General features: G+C 46.0%; 1 long non-coding RNA gene across 1 annotated transcript; it reads left to right on the plus strand.

The window, feature by feature from the left end:
* Nucleotides 1-10,067: 10,067 nt before the first annotated feature.
* MYCNUT (MYCN upstream transcript) lies at nucleotides 10,068-25,687 on the plus strand. The gene is made up of 3 exons (NR_125783.1): nucleotides 10,068-10,732; nucleotides 11,237-11,366; nucleotides 25,443-25,687. It is a non-coding gene; the product is annotated as an MYCN upstream transcript (long non-coding RNA).

A 25,814-nucleotide genomic window follows, 5' to 3' on the forward strand; every position in this document is an offset into this window, starting at 1 on the left:
GTGAAACTCTGTCTCAAAAGAAAAGAAATAAATAAAAAGTAAAAATAAAATTATAGAAAATGCCAACTACTTTATATTGACAGAAAGCCTGGGAATGGGGAGAGAAGCAGAAGAGAGGGATGACAAAGAGACACAAGGGGCCAGGCACAGTGGCTCACCTGTGTAATCCCAGAACTTTGGGAGGCCGAGGCGGGCAGATTCCTTGAAGTCAGGAGTTCAAGACCAGCCTGGCCAACATGGTGAAACCTCGTCTCTACTAACAATACAAAAATTAGCCTGGTGTGGTGGTGGGTGCCTGTAATCCCAGCTACTGGGAAGGCTGAGGCAGGAGAATTGCTTGAACCCAGGAGGCGGAGGTTGCAGTGAGCTGAGGTGGCACCACCGCACTACAGCCTGGGCAACAGAGAGAGACTCGTTCTCAAAAAAAAAAAAAAAGAGAGAGACACAGGAAGCTTTGGGGGTGATGGACATGCTCATTATCCTGATGATGGTGATGGTTACTCAAATGTATGCATGTGTCAAAATTCATCAGATTGTACATTTTAACATGTGAGGTTTGCTGTCTGTTAATTATACCTCAATAAGCTGTTAAAGATAAAAAGAGTAAAAAAAAGAGTAAAAAAATCCCTTACATGAGAATGCTTCTGGAGTTGTTGGAGAGGAGGCCTAGAGCCCAGCTGGGCATGAGAGAGCAGTCGCTCCAGTTTGGAGAAGGAGGATGGGGTGCTCCAGGGAGGACATTTCCAAGGAACAAATGGAAGACATAGCTGGCTTTTGTGTTTGAAGGCACACTCATTACAATACTGAGGAGGCTGGGTGGGGTGGCTCACCTGTAATCCCAGTACTTTGGGAGGCTGAGGCAGGCGGATCACTTGAGGTCAGGAATTCGAGACCAGCCTGGCCAACATGGTGAAACCCCATCTCTATTAAAAATGCAAAAATTAGCCGGGTGTGGTGCCACATGCCTGTAATCCCAGCTACTCAGGAGGCTGAGACAGGAGAATCGCTCAAACCTGGGAGGCAGAGGTTGCAGTGAGCCAAGATTGTGCCACTGTACTCCAGCCTGAATGAGTGAGACTCTGTCGCAAAATAAATAAATAAATAAATAAATAAATAAATAAATAAATAAAAATACTGAGGAAATACAGTTCTACTGAAGAGGTGGGGGGTGAATTAGAGATAGATACACAGAAAGCTTAGTAAACAACATGAGGCAATTATTAATTGCAAAGAAAGCAAAAAAAGTTCTATAAGACAAGAAATGTAATGGACAAAAAAATGGCTCTATTCCAAATATATTAATATAGTCATGAAAATGTGAGTAATGATGGTTTAGCCAAATTGATAGAATATATCTGGGAAGATGGAGTGGGAATTGGTGTAAGGCTGAGCTGTTAGGGCAAGAGGAAGACGTGTAAAATCTCACCCACCACACCTAGAAGTCAAAACGCAAAAACCTAAAAGTAGTAGATGAGGAAATGGTAATGTAAGCATAGTATTTAGACTGAGGGAGGTAAGTAGCAGAGACAGCTGAAGGGAATAATCACCATTGCCTCTAGGGAGTGGGAATCCGGAGGGAAGTCTGGGGCCTTAGATTGCTGGTTGTTGTCAAAAGCCAACACTCTCTGGTTTTTCAACTATTTGTAAATATCCCTTAGACATGATAAAACTAAATTTAAGAAACTGTATGGGAAAAGTCCTGGGAGAGCATGACTACAAATTAAAACAGTGATTTCAACTCTTTATTTTCCCCCGGTTTAATTTGTACTGGTCCTGGGTCTTTCCAAGACCATTTATTACTTTCATAAAGAATAAAATAAATGAGTGAATAAATGCAGGTGAACAAAACCCATCCCATTGCTAATTCTCAAGAAAGTGGAGGACAAGACTGAAAAGAAGATAGGAACCAAGATGGAAAATCCCAGAGACGGGAGCCGCTGGCCAGGTTCCTGGCACACAGCGTTGGAAGAAGCAGCCTTCCCCTGGGAAACCGCCAAGGAGTCATTCCAGGACAGCAGCTGGGCTTCCGGAGAACCGGTGCCCGCTGACTACTGTAAGGTTAGGCCCCTGCGGCCCCTCCTACACACACAATAACAATAATAAGTATAAACACACAAAACAGCGAAGCCTGGGGTAAGATTCCTGCTCTGACTCACAGGCTGCCTTTCATGCTTACGACATAATCTCTCAAAAACATCTCCTGTTTGGTAACTTCAGTTTTCTGAACATCTCCCCTTTAGATGAGAAGCAAGAGGTGAAAGAAGGGCAAAGTGAGTAAGAAGAAAGAAAGACTTGAGTGCTATTCTAAAGAGAACATTCTAGATGTGTCCAGGGGAAGAAGCAAAATATGGGCTCTCTGCCCAAATTCTCTCACTGAATTTCAAAAAGAATTTGTATCCCCTTTTGATCCCCATAGAAGGCATCAAAAGGTGAGAGAAGTCAAAGAATCTTTCCAGGTTCACCAAAGTCAGAATTATTATTATTATTATTTTGAGATGGAGCCTGGTCTGTCACCCAAGCTGGTGTACAGTGGCACAATCTCGGCTCACTGCAACCTCCACCTCCGGGGTTCAAACAATACTCCTGTTTCAGCCTCCTGAGTAGCTGGGATTACAGGTGTGTGCCACCATGACCCACCCAAAGTCAGAATTTGAACCCAGTACTCTCCCCTTTTTCCTTTCTTCTCTCCATCCTTCCTTTTCCTTCTTTAATTTTTATTTTTTTATTTATTTTGCCTTCAAAAATATTTATATAGCTCCCAAGCACAACACTAAACACTGGCCTGGGACTTCATGAAACTTACCTCCAGGGGGAGGGATGGAAAGTAAAATAAACAAATAAATGAGCAAATAGTTGCAAATGCTTGTCAGGGCTGTGAAGCAAATAAAACAGGGTCATGTGAAATACCGAAACTGAGCAGGCATGACATGGAATACTTCAGGATAAGTGGTCAAGGAATGTTCTCGAGGAAGCAGTATTTGAGCTGAACCCTGAGTGAAGAGCTGTGGAAAGACCAGAAACAGTGTTTCAGGTGCAGAGAATAGTAACTGCAAAGACTGAGGCGAAACTAAAAAAGTCATCGAAACCCACACTGAGCCCTGCTGGCGGGGAACTGATGACTCCTCGTTGGTACGGTCGTCTGCCCTGTCCAACGTGGGGTTCTTGAGAAGCTGATTCTGAAATTGAGATTAGGGTACAGGAAGATTCTTGTGGGGGTGCTCTTGTGAGGAGTGAAGGCAGCGAGGCTAGGCAGAGGGAGGGAGGCACTGAACTGTGCTGCAGTCTCACAGCACTGGCACAAGGACCCTGACCTTGGCATCACCGACTGCATAGGGTTGAGAATTTGACCATCTCTGGGGTGCCACAACTCTTATAAATTCAATCTCGGGTCTGATACTCAGCCTTTTCCGCCCTCCAGTTGTGAGAGATGATGGCCTCTTTATATGCTACCAACGAGGTCCTATGGCTGTCACACTTTACCTTCGTGATTAATCACTCTCAGCCTTCCACTGCCTTTCTCAAATGCATTGATGGTTCTCAGCAACAGCCATCTCACTCCATTGTTCGCCCCTCCTCACCAGCCTTTCAAACTCCTGAAGTCTTGCACCTCCTGTCCATTCCTTTCCATAGCTGTTCCACCCAAGTGTATCATGGAAGTTTTACCAATTGCAAAGCATGCCTGGGGGAATCAGTGCTCCACTGCCACAAGGGATGGGGTCCTCGTGGTCAACTGGCTGATGAGTGATCAAACTTCAAAATCCCATACACAGTCTGCTTCCTCAAACCCTTCCTGGCACCAACATCTCTGAGCCGGAGATGCACGTGCGGTAAGTTTATAGGGAACATCCTCTGAATTATTCCCTGCAGAGGAGTGAAGAAAGTAAACATATGCCAGGTGTGGTGGCTCATGCCTGTAATCCCACCACTTTGGGAGGCTGAGGCGAGTGGATCACTTAAGGTCAGGAGTTCGAGACCAGCCTGGCCAACATGGAGAAGCTCCATGTCTACTAAAAGTACAAAAACTAGCCAGGCATGGTGGCATGCACCTGTAATCCCAGCTACCTGGGAGGCTGAGGCAGGAGAATCGCTTGAACCCGGGAGGCGGAGTTCACAGTGAGCCGAGATGGCGCCACTGCACTCCAGCCTGGGCGACAGAGCGAGGCTCTGTCTCGAAAAAAAAAGAAAGAAAAAAGACAGAAAGTAAGTGTGGCCAGAAGTTCAATTCTGAAGCCCTCACAGCAACAGCCTCCGCCAGTCTCATAGGGCTGAGAGCTCTGGAGCTGGGGTGGCACTTTGTCCCAAACTGAAGCACTGAAGGGCTAGGCTTTTGTTCCCCCACATCAGTCAACTGTGAGACTGGGATACCTCACTGGAGGGGCCGCATGGCAGCTGCTTTCAGCTAAACATAGTGTGAAGGGAGGGAGCCAGCTGAACCTCCGCCAACCTTCTGCACTTCAGCAGGCAAAGCTGCAGTGGCTGGGGGAGTCCTGCCTTGGCTCTGCAGTGGGGCGTAAGGAGTGCACCGGGACAGCCACCACAGCCCCACTTCCATGCTTCTACCGCAAAGAGCAATTAGCTTCTTTTCTTGGGACACATATAGAATCAACATCTGGAGACCACGAGCCTGAGACCCATTTCAAGTAGCAAAAGAATTTGGACAGGATGCATTTAATCTTGAGTTAATGGTACAAAGCTCAGCCAAGATAAAATTCTCAGCCTCAACATATTTTATTTTGAAAAAATGTTATTGTCAGGTACAAGGGAAATTCCTCCTAACTTAGGGGGCTCTGCCAGATGACATAAGCACTGGAGGGACCATTCGTCTGGTGTGTTATCTTTTTCATCTAAGTAGGTCTTTCCTCCACCAACTCATCTCTCAAAAAGCTGGCCACAGTTCCTAAGTAATTCTATCCCCTGACAGCTGCAGGAAAGAAAATAGTTGTGACTTGAAAACACACATTTTTAGGCTGGGTGCAGTGGCTCACACCTATGATCCCGGTACTTTGGGAAGCTGAGGCAGACGGATCACCTGAGGTCAGGAGTTCGAGACCAGCCTGACCAACATGGAGAAACCACGTCTCTACTAAAAATACAAAATTAGCCAGGCGTGGTGGTGCATGCCTATAATCCCAGCTACTCGGGGAGCTGAGGTAGGAGAATCACTTGAACCCAGGAGGCAGAGGTTGCAGTAAGCCAAGATCGCGCCACTGCATTCCAGCGTGGGTGACAGAGTGAGACTCAGTCTCAAAAAAAAAAAAAAAAAGAAAAGAAAAGAAAAAAAGAAAGAAAACAGACATTTTTGGGGCCAGGCACAATGGCTTACGTCTGTAATCCCAACACTTTGGGAGGCTGAGGAAGGATCACTTGAGGTCAGGAGTTCAACACTAGCCTGGCCAACATCCCAAAACCGCAACTCTACTAAAAATACAAAAATTAGCCAGGCATGGTAACATGTGCCTGTAGGGCGGCAGAGGTTGCAGCAAGCTGAGATTGTGCCATGCACTCCAGCCTGGGCCACAGAGCAAGACCCTATCTCAAAAAAAAAAAAAAAAAGAAAAAGAAAAAGAAAGAAAAGAAAACAGACATTTTTGGATGTCATGTTTCCAAACACCAAATATGTTGGGTTTCCCCTTTCTTCTCCCATATCTTCCCTGCTCTGGGTGGAATTCAAATGGGGAATTAAAGCGAACACTTTGAGCCTAATTTCCAATCCTTACATTTTTATTGAGCACCTACTATGTGGCCAATGTGTTGGTAGTTATTAATAATAATAACAACCACCATTCACTGCCTGTTATGGGCCAAGTACTGTGCAGATATTACTTTGCATGCTTATAAGGATGATAAAGATTAGATGCATGTTAAAATTATTCCATTTGTCTCAGAGGGAAAATGGGGCTCTACTAGATTAACCAATCTGATCAAGTCAGTGAGGAACCCAACCCATGATAAAGGAGTTCAGTTTTAAAAAACTCAAGGGCTTCCCATCTATCATAGAGTCTAGTGAATAGAAAGAACTCAATAAATGCATTTGAAGCATTTTTAAGTATGATTGACCCATTTAGGCTGCAGGGTGGGCATGGAGGCAGTGGTGCTGCCTGCAGCCACAGGGTATGCCGTCTAAGTATGACACCGGACCTGCTTCTCAGAAAGGTCCAGCACTCTCAGTGAACTTGAGAGAGCCACTGTCAGTCCCAAGTTTGGAATTTCTACTAGCAGGACAGGCAGTTCATGCCCAGAAAAGGGGCTGCCTCTTAGTCTGGAGCTCTCAGTTCTCTGCCCCAAGGAAGCCATGGGTGGCCGGTGTGCTTCCCATTCGCACAGAAACAGGAGGACTTGGCAGTGCCTTCTATGGGAGCTTTCCTTCAGGGCTAGGATAGGCCAAGGAAAGGATGGGATTGGACAGAGAGAGCATTCTAGAGCTCACCTTTATCACAGAACCTCAAAGAACACAAAGTGCTGGAAATAAATACCAGGGCAGAGACTTCCAGGGTAAGGCCTTCTCTAAATCCACTGTTCTTCTTGTCCCCTACGTCCCACGGTGTCTACTTCAGAAATCTGGGAGGAGCATTGTACTCTAGTGGAGGGAAACCAGGCTTTGGAGTTAGAAGGGCTGGGTGTGAATCCTGGGTCTCTAGCTGGATGACCTTGGGTAAGTTACTTAGCTTGTCATAGCCTCAGCTTTCTCTTTTGTAAAATGGAGCTAGTAATCCGAACACCAGAGAGATTGTTCTGAGGAATAAAGGATATTGCAGCTGTAAAATGCTGGCCCTTACTATTTGAAAATAAATCTTACATCTGCTTTCCCCTTCTCAAAGATGTGTGATTATTCCTGCATAGACATGTGACTAGTCCTATACGTTTATTTTTACCTGTCCTTTTTCTAAAAATAATTTGAGGCAGCTGGTTTAATGACAAGACCAAAATAGAAGGCTCTCTCTCCCCTTTAATCCCTGCTCTCAAACACTTAGTGCAGGTGGCTATGTCACATCGAAGGAGTGGGAAGTAACAGAAGTGCGAGACATGCATTCAGCAGGTAGTATACCAGCCATGGGAGACTCAGAACGGACAAATGCCCGCCTTCACGGAACTCACTATCAAAGGTGGCATGCAGCCTGTGAGCCATTCCACACGGGCTTTCAATCCTTTGAGTTCTGATAATTCTACCTACTTCATATTTATTTTTCTTTTTTATTTTATTTTATTATTATTTTTTTGAGACGGAGTCTCACTCTGTTGCCCAGGCTATAGTGCAGTAGCATGATCTCAGCTCACTGCAACCTCCACCTCCCAGGTTCAAGTGAATCTCCTGCCTCAGCCTCCCGAGTAGCTGGGATTACATGTGCTCACCACCACGCCCAGCTAAATTTTTGTATTTTTAGTACAGATGGGTTTTCACCATGTTGTCCAGGCTGGTCTTGAACTCCTGAGCTCAGGCAATCTGCCTGCCTCAGCCTTTCAAAGTGTTAGGATTATAGGTGTGAGCCACCATGCTAGGCCCCTACTGAGTATTTCTAGGACCCATCTACTTCTCCTTAGACCCTCGGCCATGACTGTAGCTTGGGCCCTCTTTTTCTCTCATCCGGATGTCTGTGTCTTAATTGGTTGTCTGCACTCTTGTTGTCTTCCAACCTTTTCTCTATGCTGTAGGCAGTGTACATGGCTCAGTTTCTCTGCCTAAACATTCAGCGGCTTCCCAGGGACCTGGGAAAAAGCTTAGCATGGCTCAGAAGACCCTTGCTTCTCTCTCTTGGGTCCATTCACACTTTCCAGCTCCTCTTTCCTCCATATTGAACTTCTCTCCTGAGTGTGCCACTCTTTCCATTTTCAATGTGCTTCCCTTAGCCAGGAACCTTGTTCATCCAACTCAGCTTGGCGGTCACTTCATTCATTTCATTCACTCATTCATTCGCTCAGGATTGACTGAGTGCCCACTATATTCTGAAAGATGTGCTATATTCTAGTAGGGAGACAGCCAAGAAACAGTGCACATGTCAACAAATGACATATCTAATTTATGTTAATGGCAAGTGTTCTGAAGCACAGTGGGGCAGGGAAGGAACTAGAGAGCGGCAGGGTGCTGTTTTGGGTATGGTACGCAGGGAGCACGGAAGTAAGGGAGCTGGTCATACAAAGAAGAATGGGAGGGACACAGATGTTCAAGGTTGGGGGAAATACGTGCGAAACCTCTGTGGGAATAAAGCTGGAGTGCAGAGAAAAAAGCAAGACATTCAGAGTGGCTGGGGCAGAGAGAAAGGGGCCAGTGGTGAGAAGTGAGGTCTGGGAGGAGGCTTGTGGACTTTGCCTGACAGCTCCCCACCACTCTCTCCAGCTCTGACCTCAAGGGCAGCCTGTATTTTTCCAATTTTTCTGCTTGGGACTCTGTATTGTAAGTGAATGCTGAAGTATCCATGTTCCCAACAACACTATAGTCTTTTTATTCTTATTGACAATTTAACTTCTGCAATAAGGTAGGTTCTCAATATATATCTGTGGGTGATTGAATGACTACCAGGAACAAGAATAGAGGTGAAAGAAGATGTCATTCGCCCCCTGCAAAGTAGCCCATGACAAGTGGTAGGTAAGGGTGGACTGCCTGGGAGTGAGGCCAGAGGATTCTGCGTGGCGGGCAGGGTTGGGGATGGAGGGAAGCAGAGATCCCCTGGACAGGAGATCAGCTGAAGGAAGTGGTCTCCTATCTTAGTGCGTCTTGGCAGGCTGAGAGGAGGAGGCTGGGGTGAGGAATTTCTGGCAAAGGGGATTCCTACAGGTGGGAAGGTTGGGGCTTATCTGGAAAACAATGAGTAGACCACAGAGTTATTTCTTGTGACAACACGGAAAGAGCACAGAGCAGGGAAAGAGTCCAGGTATCCCCCACGCCTCTAAGCCTGGAATCTGGCGGTGTGAGGGAGGGGTGGACTTGGGTGTCTTTGTGAGTTTCCATCACTCTGAAGTTCCAGGAGCCAAAGAGCCCTGAGCCCATGACCGGCTGGACGGTGAAGGGAGGTTTCAGGATGCTGGTGCTGCAGTTAGCTCAGATGAGCTTGTGCTTGGCTCCCTGGGTGCAGACCACCAGTGCAGAGTTCGATGGACACACAGTGGGTCTGCAAGGCTGCCTGAGGCAAATCCATCACTGCTGCCTGGCTCCGAGATGGAAGCCTAGTGAGTCCAGAGATCATCCATCTCATGCATCTTCCCACCCAAGGCAGAATTCCTTCCGTGTTAGTTTCCTAGGGCTGGCATAAACAACCCCCACAAACCGGATGGCTTAAACAACAGAAATGTATTCTCACAGTTCTGCAGGCTAGAAGTCTGAAATCAAGGTGTTGGCAGACTCCCTCTGAAACCTCTGGGACAATCCTTCCTTGTCTCTTCCTAGACTCTGGTGGTATTCTGGCAATCTTGGAAGTCCCTGGCTTGTAGATGCATCATGCCAGCCTCTGCCTGTCTAGACGTGGACTTCTCCCTGTAGGCCTCTGTCTGCACATGACAGTCTTTTTGTAAGGACACCTGTCATATTGGATTAGGAGCCTATCCTACTCCAGTATGACCTCATCTCAACTAACACCTGCAACAGCCAGATTTCCAGTACAGTCACATTCTGAAGCACTGGGAGTCAGGACTTGGACATATCCTTTTCGGGGGAGGGGGGTGCAATTCAGCCCATACACCATCTGTGCCATCCCCAGCAAGGGGTCCTTCAGCCTCTGGCAGGTGCCCCCACTGAGGGGACAAGGCCTGCAATGCAACCAGCTCTTTGCCAGATTGTACCCTCTTCCCCCCTCCTCCCTCTCTTCCTTCCTCTCTCCCACAAATATTTATCAAGAGATTAATATATTCCAGGAATGGTGCCAAGTCCTGGGTGCCCAACAGTAAACAAAACAGAGACTAGGGGAAAGGCTTTCGTTACATCATCCTCTCCCACAGGTCCCCTGAGGCCACGCAGCGCATGCGGCTGCACCCTGAATGACTAAAGACAGTGATGGACTCCCCAAGGCTCCCGTGGGTCAAATCCCTGTGGCTTCTTTACATATTTCTCAAATGGAGGGTGATTATATATGTGATGGACTAAACCAGGACACTTTTGAGAATGAACTTGGGTGCTATTGGTAATCACACCGAGACACAGCAACGTCCGGGACCAACTCAACCCTCAGTCCGCTCATGGGGCACAGGTTTCCTGGTCCTTCCCTACCCTGACTTCTCTTCTTCTGATGTTTGGTGGTCTGCATCCTTTTAAACCACTGTGCTCCCAGAACTGATTCCCATATGTGTCTGCCATACTGGAAAATACCAAATAGGCAAGGAGATCGTTTCAATACTGTCTGCTGAACACCTTAATAGAGGCAAGAGAGAACGCAGAGGAAGAAACAATGGACTCTTTCTGAGAGAGTGGAAGATGGCTTCGCAGAGGAGCTGCTGTCTGAGACGGATAGCATGAGTAGGAGTTTCCCCAGGCAGGGAAGGTGTTGTTGTTTCTCCTCAGGGTAGAGGGGAGAGCAGGGTTCCCCGTGTGTCTGTTGCTGAATGTGACTCATGCTGTTTTCCTGCTTTGAGCCTGCTCTAGGGTGTTATGGGCAGGATGGACTTGTCCTGCGTGCTTGTTGTTCCGCCGTGTTTCTGATCTTCAGATTTATCGTAAGGAAGAACAGCCGATGTACAGGCAGAACTTGACAAATGAGGCAACAAGCAACTTGATCTGGGATCCATCGTCCTCTAGACCCCAGTAGGAGTGAGTCATTTACAAGCGTTTGTTGAGAACAGGCTTCACTGATGGGTCTGTGCTGGTCTCTGGGAAGGCAAAGGTCACATGTAGTCACTGATCTCAAAGAAATTGACCCAGGCAGCAAGACACATGCATGCAATTAAATTATACCAAAATATCTAAGGGCCACCACACACCTTTATAAGTTTTGTGCACATTTTGGGACTACAGAGAAAGTCACAGGTAATTCCAGCTGGAGGAATACACTTGGCTTTCACTGAAGAACTTTGAGGGCTTCAAGGGCCAAGTCACACATCACGGCTGGAGAAGGAGAGGCTCAGAGGTGTGAACACATAGGAAATGCTTGGGGCAGGACCAGCCTTTGGGGCCAATGGTGTGGGTGGGGTGGAGGGGAGAAGAGGAGACAGATAAAGGAGGCTGCCTTGGGATGCAGAACAGGGAGCTGCTGGGGTAGCAAGCCAGCATCGTATCTGGTCAAGTGTCCTCACCCCTGCCTTCCCTCCTGCTAAGGTCTAAGCACCAGCGTGGTGGCCACCCCAGCAGCCTTGGACCCCTGAAGGCTTGAGCACCAAAGCACACACAGCTGCCTCTGGCTGAGTTCTGTGGTCGCCTGCACCCCCTCCACCTGCTTCCCCCGGAGGTAGGTCCTTCCACTGCCAGGGGCCGCCTCCTCTGAGGTGAGTAGTGCTGGTCCTCTCGAGGGACCCAGACACTCTCACAGCCCGGGTTGATACCATGAAGAGTGAATCCTCACTAGCCCTCTAAAATCGGAAAAGGGGACCCATCTCAGACAGTGCTGGGTTCAGCTGTGTGGACATCGACAGGGCTGAGAAGAGAATGTCAAACCCCAAAGCATCCCCAGGGCTGTGCCTTCCCATCCTGGGTGAGGGGAGTTCTGCAGGGGCACTGGGGTGCTTGTCTCCTGGGGTTCATAAATCATGTCTTTGGGGAGGCCTCTCTCACCCTGCATGGCTGGAGCAGGCCTCTCTCTCTCTCTCTCTGGCACTCCTGGGCTCCTATGTAGCATTGACCACAGGGTACTGCAGTTGGGCATGTCTTCATCTTCGTGCCTTCTGGGCTGGAAGCATCCAGGGGGCAGCGAGTGGGGCCTCCTTGTTTCTGAATCCTCAGAACTGGCACACACAGTAGGTGATCAACAAATGTGGATGGAAAAAGAAAAGTGAGCAAAAGAGGAAGGAAGTGGACGGAGGAGGTCATCGAGAAGGAGGAGCGCGGTGCTTGGAGTTGAGAGCAGGATGCACTGGGATTTCATTGGGTCTGACGCACTTTTGCCCTTGTGAACCCCATCCTTTAAGAAAAGATTAATAGTTGGCTGGGCGCAGTGGCTCATGCCTGTAATCCCAGCACTTTGGGAGGCCTAGGCAGGCGGATCACTTGAGGCCAGGAGTTTGAGACCAGCCTGGCCAACATGGTGAAACCCCGTCTCTACTGAAAAATACAAAAATTAGCCAGGTTTAGTGGCACATGCCTATAATCCCAGCTACTCAGGAGGCTGAGGCATGAGAATCGCTTGAACCTGGGATGCAGAGGTTGCTGAGATGACGCTGCTACAATCCAGCCTGGGTGACAGAGTGAGACCCCGTCTTTAAAAAAAAAAAAAAAAGTACAGTAGGCCTAGACACTGTGCTACTGTGTCCAATGAGGAAGCTGGCCCAGAGCACAGTGGTCACCTAGTAAGGAAAGGGACTGCCAGGCCCCAGCCAAACAAAACTGACCTTTTGTTGCAGCAAGTTCCTGGAAGCCCCCTCTTGTGCCAGACATTAGCCATTTGATTGCTGGATCTTGGGAAGGGCTGGATCTTGGAGGCAGGGGCTGAAGTGGTGGGCAAAGAGGCATGTCAGGAGATTGGAGCAGTGACTCTCCATTGACTGTGTGGCAGGTTCTTAGTATTTGAAAAATGGGTGTAGACATCCTGACACCTTCTTTTTTTTCTTTTTTTTTTTTTTTGAGATGGAGTCTCACTCTGTTGCCCAGGCTGGAGTGTAATGGTGCGTTCTGAGTTCACTGCAATCTCTGCCTCCTGGGTTCAAGCAATTGTCCTGCCTCAGCCTCCGGAGTAGCTGGGATTATAGGCATGTGCCACCATGCCCGGCTAATTTTTGTATTTTTAGTAGAGACGGAGTTTCACCATGTTGGACAGGCTGGTCTCAAACTCCTGACCTCAGGTGATCCACCCACCTCAGCCTCCCGAAGTGCTGGGATTACAGGTGTGAGCCACCACGTCCGGCTCTGACACCTTCTATAAGGCTTGGATGGAAGTAGAAATAACAAAATATGGCCACTGCAAAAATGCAAGATGAAGAAAAAGAAGGCAGCCAGCCCAAAGGCCAGGTTTCTGATCTGGGTACCAGTGAAAGAGACAATTCATTGGCAGGAGTAGTCTTCAGGGGAGAGATAATGAGTTCTGTTTGGGACACATTGGATGTGGTGTATCTCTGGGATTTCCAGAAAGCTATGCCCCTGTTGAATAGAAGGGTGCAGACTTTCTAGGAAATAAGATGGGGATGTAAACAGAGATGTGTGAGGTATCAGTCGGCACATAGTAGGCTCTCAATTAGTCTGTCTTGATGTGGTGTTGCTGACACCCCAGAGCTGAATGAGAAACCCCTAACGTGAACACATCAGCCCAGCTTGGGAGGTGACTGGGAGGACCTCACGCAGACTGACTTTAAGGAAAAGCACAGAACATCCTTTGTCTGATTATGATCGACACAGACACCTGGAGGGCATATCTCAGCTCAGAGTTCCCTAGGTGTGCTGGGCTGTCAGAAGTCAGCAGGAGGGGCTGGCAAGAGTTTGTCTTGAATCTTGAAATCTGGGAGGCAGATGAATAAGAAACTGCATTTTCCAAACCCTGAAGCAATACTTACTTTTCCTTCACATCTACTTCTCTAAGTGTATTTTTTTAACCTTGTTGGTACATATTATATAATCACATTGTTCAAATATTTGAGATGGTGATTACACTAACATTCAATTTTAATTGGTACTTATGTTAATATGTCAGATGTTCTCAGGAAAAATTAATTAGGACTAAACAATTGATTGACGGTCTTTAAAATCCAGACTTTCAAAAACGAACCCGTTTCATAACCCATACCACAACTGTGGGGTTAATTTGGATCATAGCTTTTATTAGCTCAGGGATGATCTTCCTTAAGACCACATGCTAGTCTATCAATAAGAAATAAAGGCCGGGCACGGTGGCTCATGCCTGTAATCCCAGCACTTTGGGAGGATGAGGCAAGCAGATCACCTGAGGTCAGGAGTTCGATACCAGCCTGTCCAACATGGTGAAACCCCATCTCTACTAAAAATACAAACATTAGCCGGATGTAGTGGCATGTGCCTGTAATCCCAGCTATATGGGAGACTGAGGCAGGAGAATCACCTGAACCTGGGAGGTGGAGGCTGCAGTGAGCCTAAATTGTACCACTGCACTCCAGCTTGGGCAATGGTACAAGCCTCTGTCTCAAAAAAAGAAAGAAAAATGCAAAACATACAGTTGAGCCAGATGCGTTGGCTCACACCTGTAATCCCAGCACTTTGGGAGGTTGAGGCAGGCAGATCACCTAAGTTCGGGAGTTTGAGACCAGCCTGGCCAACATGGTGAAACCCCGTCTCTACTAAAAATGCAAAAATTAGCAGAGCGTGGTGGCGTGCACCTGTAGTTCAGCTACTTGGGAGGTTGAGGCAGGAGAATCACTTGAACCCAGGAGGTGGAGGCTACAGTGAGCCAAGACCACACCGCTGCACTCCAGCCTTGGTAACAGAGCAAGACTCCATCTCAACAAAACAAAATAAAACAAAACAAAAATAGTTAAGAAACAGAATTTAAAATAACTTAGTCCAACTTCCTATCTAAGACAGAAATCCCTTCTATAGCAAGTCAGATGCTTCACTAGTCTCTTTTCAATCCTGTGAGTGACAGAGATCTCAGTACCTAACAAGACAGCCCCCTCCATTATTGGCTTGTTCTAATTGCTACCAAATTCTTTCTTATGTCATACTGGAATAGAGTTCCCTGTCGTTTCCTCTTGTCAGCTGTAAATTTCACTTTCTGGAGCAACAGCAAAATTCCATTTCCCATAGGAAGATTCCTCCAAGAACTGACTCCTTGAAGAGAGAAAAACAAAAGGCTCACGAGATATCATACTCTCCTCCCCGGTGATTATATTAGGGTGAAGCTCTTGGGAGATATGTAGAGGACTTCATTTCACACGGTGGTGTTATAAGTCTACAAACTTAGAGTATTTTAGGAATCTTTGTTCTAAGGACAGGTGCAGTGGCTCACGCCTGTAATCCCAGCACTTTGGGAGGCCGAAGCGGGTGGATCATGAGGTCAGGAGTTCAAGACCAGCCTGGTTAAGATGGTGAAACCCCATCTCTACTAAAAATTAAAAAAAATTAGCTGGGTGTGGTGATGGGCACCTGTAATCCAAGCTACTCAGGAGGCTGAAGCAGGAGAATCATTTGAACCCAGGAGGCAGAGGTTGCAGTGAGTTGAGATCATGCCACTGCACTCCAGCCTGGGTGACAGGGTGAGACTCCATCTCAAAAAAAAAAAAAAAAAAGAAACATTTGTTCTAAAAAGATTTCTGAATAGATTGGTTAATTTTTGTGGCTGCACTTGGATATAATTTGTTTAAAAGACAGCACACCTTAAGGTCTTAGCTAAGCTTTGCTCATTCGGGTGGATGAGCACCCCCCAGGACCACCAAGAGGATTACTATACAATATTAAAGATTTTATTTTAAAATCAAATTGTATGCATGAGTGTGTATTGATAAAAAAAAATTAATTATGTGCACGAGGTTAAATGCAGTCTTAAAGACGGCATCAGGGAACCTTCATAAACAAATGTGCACTTTGGAGTCAGGTTGTGCTGTGTTAGAATTCCAGCTGTGCCACTTATTAACCGTGTGACCTTGGGCCCCAGTTTCCTCAGATGTAAAGTGGGTATGAAAATAATTAACCTTGCAAGGCTGGAGTGAGTATTAAGTGCAAAAACATCTATATTCAGCCTGGGATATAGCAGGCACTCAATAAATGGAAAGATCAGGTTTGTAGATCCTAATTTTAAACACAAGAGAGAATGTTCATTTAATTTATTTAGAAAGTTAAATAGTAAGAACAGAGATATACAATCTAGTAAAAAATATTTCAAGGCCATATGTTTAAAGTGTCTGTCAGTGTTTAAAAATGTGAAATTAAAATGTAACGACACCCAATTGTTATTTTAAAAACTCAAACCATCAATAGAAAAACAAATGAAAATTTCTTCACCATCTCTCCATTTCGATCCTCAGTCCCATTCCCCAATAATTTTGCTAAACAGTTTGGTGTACAACCTTCCACATATGCTTATACAAGCACGTTAAGACGTATTCCCTTCAAAAATGAACTCATGCCATACACATTGTTCTGCCACTTCTTTTGCATCTGACACTATATGATAGACATGAGCTCCAGCTCCGTCCTCTTCACAGCCAGGCATTAATATTATTATTATTATTTTTTTTTCAGGCAGAGTCTCACTCTTGTCGCCCAGGCTGGAGCACAGTGGCGTGATCTTTGCTCACTGCAACCTCTGCCTCCCAGGTTCAAGCGATCCTCCTGCCTCCTGAGTAGCTGGGATTACAGGCACGCACCACCATGCCTGGCTAATTTTTGTATTTTTAGTAGAGATGAGGTTTCACCATGTTGGCCAGGCTGGTCTCGAACTCCTGACCTCAGGTGATACGCCCATCTTGGCCTCTCAAAGTGCTGGGATTACAGGCATGAGCCACTGCACCTAGCCACCGCCAGGTATCACTAAGATGGGTTTTTAAAAGAGGGCTTTTGGCCAAGTGCAGTGGCTCATACCTGTAATCCCAGCACTTTGGAAGGCCAAGGCTAGAAGATCCTTTGAGGTCAGGAGTCTGAGACCAGCCTAGGCAACATAGCAAGACCCTGTCTCTACAAAAAAAAAAAAAAAAAAAAATAGCTGGGTGCAGTGACACACGCCAATACTCCCAGCTACTTATGAGGCTGAGGTGAAATGATCGCTTAAGCCGGGAAGGTCGAGGCTTCAGTGAGCTATGATCACACCAGTGCACTCCAGCCTGGGAGACACAGCGAGACCCTGTCTCAAAAATAAATAATAAATAAATAATTTTTAAAAAAGGGTTTTAAAAGAAGTAATGTCAGTGAAATGTAAGGTTTGCCCTAAGTCCACAATTCTAAAGTTTGGATGACAACGGAAAAATCCAGGTTTATTTCATCTCGAAAATAGGGCAGAGGTCAGACAGCAGGTGGGGAGATAATCCGGATAAGACAATTAGAGGATTCTGAATGAGCAGGAATCATTTTTGTGGTATTGACAACCACCTCTACAATGACGTGGTGCTCTGTCGCTTACCTTGCTTTTGGCAATGGCTGCAGTCCTGCAAGGAGAGAGGTGCCCACGATTCCCATTTTAAAGAGGAGGAAACTGAGATTCACAGAAGCTGACACGCCGCTGCAAGGACAGGAGTTGGGAGTCAGGTAGAGGAAGGTGGAATTTGATTCTTTAAGGCTCTAGGCCAGTGGGTAAGCCATAAAAAGGAGCAAAGCGAGCCCTTGGCATCTGACCTCCTGCCTCGAGTAGAGCTGAGATTCCTTCTGCAATTTCAGAGGAATGCTGCTCTGTGGCATCTGGCTTAAGGGCTAAATAGTCCACAGTGTTTTGTGACTCCCTGTAATGTAGCCGGCACTGTGTTAGAAATCAGTGAATGCGGGAAAGTGGGACCCGCATTGGGCTGGCAACCATGACTTCTGTCCCAGCTGGGGCATGTCACTGCCCTGAAGAGTGGTATGGGCTACAGGAGCTCTTCCTTGGCTTGGAATTGAGGCAGTTGGGGGCTCCATGAGTACAGAAGAGGGAGTCTGGGAACTCACTCGTGCTGGAGTTCACAGAATGAAAATCTCTTTCATCCATCCTCATGGTTTCAGAGGTGGGCAGACAGTCTGGAATTACCTAAGGCTGATCTCGTGTTATAATGAAATAGAATGAAATGAGGAAAAGGGCAAGAAATCTCATCTTTCTTTTTCTTTTTTTTTTGAAATGAAGTTTCACTCTTGTTGCCCAGGCTGGAGTGCAATGGCGCAATCTCGGCTCACTGCAACCTCCACCTCCTTAGTTCAAACGATTCTCCTGCCTCAGTCTCCTGAGTAGCTGGGATTACAGGCATGTGCTACCATGCCTGGCTAATTCTGTATTTTTAGTAGAGATGATGTTTCCCCATGTTGGTCAGGCTGGTCTTGAACTCCCGACCTCAGGTGATCTGCCCACCTTGGCCTCCAAAGTGCTGGGATTACAGGCGTGAGCCACTGCGCCTGGCCAAGAAATCTCATCTTTCTATGCAGCTTTGGGAGTGGCTGGCACAGGACAATGATGTTTAGAAAGCAAATCAAGTGGCCTAGCCATCATCCTAGGGGAAGTCAGGGGACCTGCTCAGGAGGGACAGACACAACTTGCTCCCCTGGACAGCATCTGGCGGAGGGTGGGGACCGATCCTGGGGGTCTGGCTATCTTTGACTCAGATTAGCAACGCTGAGAGGAACTGACAGCCCACGTCAGCCTCTCTCTGGGGCCCTCACAGAGAGGGTACTGTCACCCTTGTCTGGTACTATAGTGGGTCAGGAGTCTTCAGTCAGCCAGAAGGGAGACGCTGACCAACAGGACATCCTCTCCATTCTCCCCAGCCCCTCTACTAGCATGGATGGTGAGAAATGAGTCTCAGATGGAGGCATCTGAAGCAGATTCTGCAGAAAAGGTGACTCATGCCAGGGATCTCACCTTCCCGAGGCCCTAGGAGCCCCGCTTAGTTCATCTGTGCTTCTGGAGGAACCCCGGACCCTGGAGCTGCAGAGGTGCTCTTTTGAGGATACTGGAGCTGGTGGCTTCTTCCAGCCCTCTTCTCAGGAGAGCTGCATATTCTTGCTCTTGTGAACATTTCATTCCTTCATGGAGAAACCAAACACTCCAATCCCCAAAGGAAAATAGAGATAACTGCTGATTTCCACAGGTGGAAGAGACAAAAGCCAGAACTTTCTCCTGGTTTCATGAGAAAGTGCTGGGGTTTTATTGTTTGTGTGATCTGATTGATCTGAATGTGTGGCTTTCAGTCTGGTTTTGAAACCCTTCAAGATCCCCAGAGAGGCTGGGCGCAGTGGCTCACATCTGTAATCCCAGCACTTTGGGAGGCCGAGGCAGATGGATCACTTGAGGTTAGGAGTTCAAGATCAGCCTGGCCAACATGGTGAAATCCCATCTCTACTAAAAATACAAAATTAGCCGGGCATGGTGGCAGGTGCTTGTAATCCCAGCTACTCGGGAGGCTGAGGCAGAAGAATCGCTTGAACCTAGGAGGCGGAGGTTGCAGTGAGCTGAGATGGTGCCACTTGCACTATAGCCTGGGCAACAGAACAAGACTCCGTCTCAAAAAAATTTTAAAAAAATAAAAAATTGACCTTAGTGTAAAAGATATTTAGTTAGCATTTTTTAAATAAAAAGTTTTGTAGCTGCAAGCAAGTTTGAAAACTACAAGTCTGCTGTCTCAGTTTTCTATGGATTGCTGGTCCTGACATTCTCTTTATATATATATATATATATATATATATATATAAAATAGTAGCTGAGATTACAGGCACCCACCACCAAGCCCCACTAGTTTTTGTATTTTTAGTAGAGATGGGGTTTCACCACGTTTGTTAGGCTGGTCTCGAACTCCTGACCTCAAGTGATCCACTTGTCTCAGCCTCCCAAAGTGCTGGGATTACAGGCATGAGCCACGGCACCCAGCCCTGACATTCTCCTTATGTACATAGAGACATAAGCCTTGTTTTGGGAGAACAGAGAGAAATCTGTCCATTCATTCCACAAAATATTTTTTGAGCACCTCCTTTGTGACAGGTACAACTATGCATCATGAAAAATAAAAAGGCCTAGTAATGGCTGCCATTGCCTTTGAGGAGATTGTGCTTGGGGGCACAGGTGACTCCATGGCAGCCAGTTCAGAGGAAGCATTTCGAAGTGAAGTCTAAGCTTCTATCCTTGAACGACTTCATTCCGATCAGCTGTAGCTACAGACACCATTCTCTTCAAGACTTCTCTCTCTCGTTTTTTATTTAAACCTATGTGTATTTTAATATAGAAAACTTTTTTCATGAAACAACTTGCAGGACTAATTTAGGATTAATTAGAATATCTTCAACAGGCTGGGAGCAGTGGCTCACACCTGTAATCCCAGCACTTTGGGAGGCCCAGACCAGAGGATCATTTAAGGTCAGGAGTGTGAGACTAGCCTGGCCAGCCTAGTGAAATGCCATATTTACTAAAAATACAAAAAAAAAAAAAAAATTAGCTGGGTGTGGTGGTGCATGCCTGTAATCCCAGCTACTCAGGAGGCTGAGGCACAAGAATCACTTGAACAGGGGAGATGGAGGTTGCCGTGAGCCAAGATTGTGCCACTGCACTCCAGCCTGGGTGACAGAGAAAGACTCCATCTCAAAAAAAAAAAAAAAAAAAGGAATATCTTCAACAGTTTGCTCTAAATCATAATTATAATAAAAATCCATTAAATTTGCACTATTAAGACTTAGTATTTAAAAGGTTATTTAACAAATAACAAAAATAAGACCCTGCTTTTTTCTCTAGACTTACTTTCAGCACCTCCAGTTTATGAAGCTTTCTTACCCCATGCTCTTGGTCTTTTCCCTCCAAACAAACCATTCTATCCAACTGGGGCCACCTTGATCCATTGGGGGGTTTTAGCATAGAGTGTAACAGCTGCATGCTTGATTTGGTTTGTTCCTTCTGGCTGTTTTCCCTCTTTCACGAGGGGCTGCTCTTTTAACAAGAAGGCTGTAACGTGTAACAAGAGCAAAAACTAAGGCTTTGTTGCATTAAGCCGCTGTGATTTGAGGGTTGTTTGTTACTACAGCATACTCTCACCCATCCTGACTAATACAATCCTATCCGCCCTTGTGTCCCGGGCAAACTGTTTCTCATCCTGTAGCTCAAATGTCCCTCCCAGTCTGTGAAACCATGTTCCACTCCCCCAGGGAGGGGTGGAGTCTCTTTCCTCTGGGCCATCCTTAATTGTAGCACACAATAAGTTTCATTGGATTTTTCTGTGTGGCTTATAAGTGCCTTGCAAGCAGAAGTTATAGTTATATATAGTCATATACAAGTGTTTGTTGATGGACTAAATGAATGCTTGTATTTAGAAATTGCTTCCTAAAGCCTACTGTTCAGAGCTCATTTCTGAGCTGCAAAGACACAGTCTGTCACTGTAAAAGTGACATGGTGCAATCAGCAGCATCTGCCCAACAACTCGAGCTAGGTATGCAAGCTTGAAATCAAGACAGTTAGGAGAGAGAGTCCATAAGGTTTCTTTCAGACTCCAATAGTCAGTGCCCTGTGAACATAGCTGGACCAGAAAGAGACCTTCCTTGGCCAGTGTCAGGGAAAACAACACAGTCCTCCACATTGAAACAATTTGTTAGCATTTACAAGTTCACATTTTTCTGTATTTTAACTTCTAATTGGTTTCCTCTTTTGTGCTAAGAATGCCATCTGTCCCTTTGACAGGTTTTTGGATTTGATGCCACTTACCAGGAAATATGACCATTATAAGCATTGTAAGAGGATTCAAACGTGTCCATCCCAAACAGCCTTGTTTTAGGAACTCCATACATGATCCCACACTGTTCATGTGTAGAGGTTTTACCATTTTTCAAGCTCCTGCCCCACAGAATAAAGCCTTTTTCCTCTACAATTTCTTAGAGCTTATAATATACAGCAAGGTAACATACATGGCCCCACTTTGATTGTAGATTTCCTATCTTCTCTGTGGCAGTAAGAATATTATTATCCCTATTCGTAGGTAAGAAAACTGAGGCTGTTGGAAATGGACATGCCCAAGATCATATAGAAATAATAGAACCAGGTTATCAAACTTCATTTCTGAATCTAAGCCCACTGCCCTACAGATATCTTTCCCTTATGGAATAAAAGCAGGGATAGGGCTCATTATTCCGATATTATGAACCAGGAGAAGTTAATGGACCGATCTAAAATTCCTCAAGAAGTAAGACACAATTCTAAGCTTGAAGAACTCCAGTCCTCTCCCCGGGTGACCCTGTGTTCTTACTAGGACTACCTTATACTACCTTGACTCTGCAGTACCTTCTTTCAAGCCTAAAGTTACTTGATTACGGACAAGCCATGAAGAGTAAAGGGGTGTGGCCCAGAGAGATTTCCAGTTGAAGAAAGAATGATTCAACAGTCCCATTAAAACAAAGAGACATTTTCTGCAGGCTCCCCCAGGACACACATGCTATGGTCTATTGCTGCGGGGTACATGGAGCCCCTGCAGGAGGGCTGGGACTAGAAGGAAGGGAGGGAACGTTTACTGGACATCCATTATAAGCCAGATGGCTACTTTGTGTAATCCTCACATGATACTAAAAGAAAGATGAAAAAATGGCCGGGTGTGGTGGCTCATGCCTGTCATCTCAGCACTTTGGGAGGCCGAGGCGGATGGATCACTTGAGGCCAGGAGTTTGAGACCAGCCAAGCCAACATGGTGAAGCCCCTTTTCTACTAAAAATACAAAAAAAAAAATTAGCTGGGCACGGTGGCTCGAGCCTGTAATCCCAGCTACTTACGATGCTAAGGCACAAGAATCGCTTGAACCCGGTAGGCGGGGGTTGCAGTGAGCCGAGATGGTGCCACTGCACTCCAGCCTGGGCAACAGAGTGAGATTCTCTCAAAAAAAAGAAAAAAAAGAAAGAAAGAAAGAAAGATGGAGAAATAAAGCCTCAGAAAAGTTGGACTATCCAACATAGCAGAACTCGCTGTCATGTCTGGTGTCAGAGCTGTTCTTTCCAGCATTCGCTGCACCAGATGCTGTAGAAGATGGAAAGGCAACATGGGAAAGGGTGCTGCACTCAGGAACTGCTCATCCTGTTAGGGGAGTCGCACACACACACAGGAATCTGATAAAGAACCCCCATGGCCGGGCACGGTGGCTCACGCCTGTAATCCCAGCTCTTTGAGAGGCCGAGGCGTGAGGTCGCCTGAGGTCAGGAGTTCGAGACAAGCCTGTCCAACATGGAGAAAGCTAAAAATACAAAAATTAGCCGGGCGTGGTGGCACACACCTGTAATCCCAGCTACTCAGGAGGCTGAGGCACGAGAATCGCTTGAACCTGGGAGGAGGAGGTTGCAGTGAGCAGAGACTGCACCACTGCACTGCAGCCTGGGAGACAAGAGTTAAAAATAATAATAAAAATTAAAAAAGAACCCCCTTGTTGGCGGCAAGCAGTATAAGATTAATGGAGATTTGGGGCAGAGAATGGGTAGGGTTAGGGGAAGGGAGGACGAGATTCCTTCCAGGACAGTCTCCAGCTGAACTTTGAGGAAAGAATTTGAATAAGCAGAAATGAAAGGAAAAGCCTTTCTAGGCCAGAAGTAGCAGCTTCTGGAAATGAGCAGATAGAATCACTGATATTTATCAGTGATTGTTATCTGAGTCCAAGGAAACTGAAAGGGCCAGCAGGCAGATTCTAGCAATTCCACTCAGATATTGAGGTAGCTCGGGCCGTCCATGGGGCTACAGGAATGTATCCAGCATTATAGGAAAATGAAATTAGCAAGAATCAGTGGGTGAGATCAGCCATCTACTAAGTAATCACCTGAGGAGAAGATCTGAAAACTTCAGCACAGCGCGAGGTGATCTGGACACATCCAAAGCACGTCATTGTGTCTGGAAAGTAATCCCAGAAAAAGGAGACCCCTGTCCTTCGTAGAGAGCCTGCCTGTTTCAAGGGGCAGCGCCAAATGGACTCAAAGGCCAGATCTGGCATCAGAATTCCTTGTAGCCCTTACAGATTCCTACTAAGATGAGGATCCCCTAATTGTGAGCCATTCCAGTGCACTGACAAATTCAAGTTTGAGGCCCACAAGGGGAAACCTATTTCTCCCCAAACCCCATACCTGTGGAGCCTGGCCCTGAGCAGCTGCCTCCAGGGACATCTTTCCCATTTTGACTTTTAGCATAAGGAAACTAAGGGAAATGAGAATTCCAACTCCACAGCAGCAGTATCACCGTCCATTCCCCGTAGCTCTTCATGGTTTGCAGTGCATTTTGACTCACTCCATCTTAGCCCTCTCTCAAGTCTACGTAATGCATGAAGCTGGAGGGAAGTCTTCACAGTGGAAGGGGTCTTTGAGCTGCCTCCAAGGATGCAAAACTAGTCTCTGAGGGCAGTCCAGGGTCTGCTGGACACTTCGATTTTCTAAATCAGTAATCAAATTACTGGCATTAAATGAAGATAATTTTTGTTTTAAACCTAATTATGCTATTACAAATAAAACTTCCCACCTCCAAAACTCTCTCAGTGGTGGATCTCAAACTCTCCTCCAGCCTCAGATGTCAAAAAACTATGCATTTTGCCTTGGGCACATCCAACATCATATACGTTGAATGGCTTTGATGGGCATGATTCTAATCTTAATTAAAGCAGTGCCCGTTTTGGTCCATCTTGGTCTCTTTGAACCCACTCTCAGCTGACTCAGTTCAATAGCAGTTTGGTGGGAAAAATGCCAACTGGCCTGGGAAACAAAGGAGAAATTTGGGGGTGACTTTAGGCTTCACAAAAGGGTCCCTTACATCACTTGAAATGATTAACTTTACTGAAAAGTAACAAAATTATTTTTGAAAAATAACAAAAACAAAGAAATTAAATTTGTTCATAACCCCATTGCTTTAAAAAAAAAAAAAAGTTATAGGCCAGGCACAGTGGCTCACGCCTGTAATCCTAGCACTTTGGGAGGCTGAGGTGGGTGGATCACTTGAGGTCAGGGGCTCGAAACCAGCCTGGCCAACACGGTGAAACCCTGTCTCTACTAAAAATACAAAAGTTAGCCTGGTGTGGTGGCATGTGCCTGTAATTCCAGCTACCAGGGAGGCTGAGGCAGGAGAATCACTTGAACCAGGGAGGTGGAGGCTGCAGTGAGCCGAGACTGTGCCATTGCACTCCAGCCCGGGCAATAAGGCGAGACCCCATCTCAAAAAAAAAAAAAAAAATTAATTAGGCATAGTGGCGGGTGCCTATAATCTCAGCTACTGGGGAGGCTGAGGCACAAGAATCACTTGAACCCGGGAGGCAGAGGTTGCAGTGAGCCGGGATCACGCCACTGCACTCCAGCCTGGATGACAGAGCGAAACTGTCTCAAAAAAAATAAAATAAATAAATAAAAGTTATATCAAGAAGAAAGTTTCTCCCTCCACCTGACTGATTGTCTTCTTCAAAGTAAACCCCTGTTAGCAACTTGGTGCACATTCTTCTCAATTTGTTACTGGGGGGTTGATGCAGATATATCTAAGTACATATATATCCAAAATGCCAGACAGATTGACCTATACCTTGCTTATTTTCCTTCATGTTCAGGAACATTTCCCGTCTGTAACTATAGACCTAACACATTATTTTTAGTGGGTGTATGTAATTCCACTGCATGGATGTATTACATACCATTCTCCTGTTTAATTTGTTTTAGTTATGGATATTTAGATTGCTTATAGTATTTTTGTTATTGAGAATGATGCAGCCACACACATTCTTGTTTATATGCTTTTATGTGTTTGTCTTATTATTTCTCGTAGGATGGATCATGAAGAGTGGAATTGCTTTTCCTCTTGGGGCAGGCACACCAACAGTGTATGTGAGGCCCCTGCTCCCACTCCCCAGGCTGGCCAGTACTTTGGGCCAATCTGCTAGACCCAAAAATGTTAATCTCACTGAGATTTAATTTGCATTCCCCTGACTACCGGTGAAGTTGAGCATCTTTTCATATGTTTATTGACAATTTGCATTTCTTATTCAGTAAATTACCTGCTCGTATCCTAGAGTCATATTTCTGTCTGCCCGTTTTTTTCTATTCAATTTGTGGGAGCTCTTTGTATACCTGGGATCTAATCTTTGACTCATATATATGGCAAGTATTTTCTATTACTGTTGTCAACTTTTTATCATAG

This window comes from Homo sapiens, chromosome 2 (assembly GCF_000001405.40).
Source record: "Homo sapiens chromosome 2, GRCh38.p14 Primary Assembly".
NCBI lineage: Eukaryota > Metazoa > Chordata > Mammalia > Primates > Hominidae > Homo > Homo sapiens.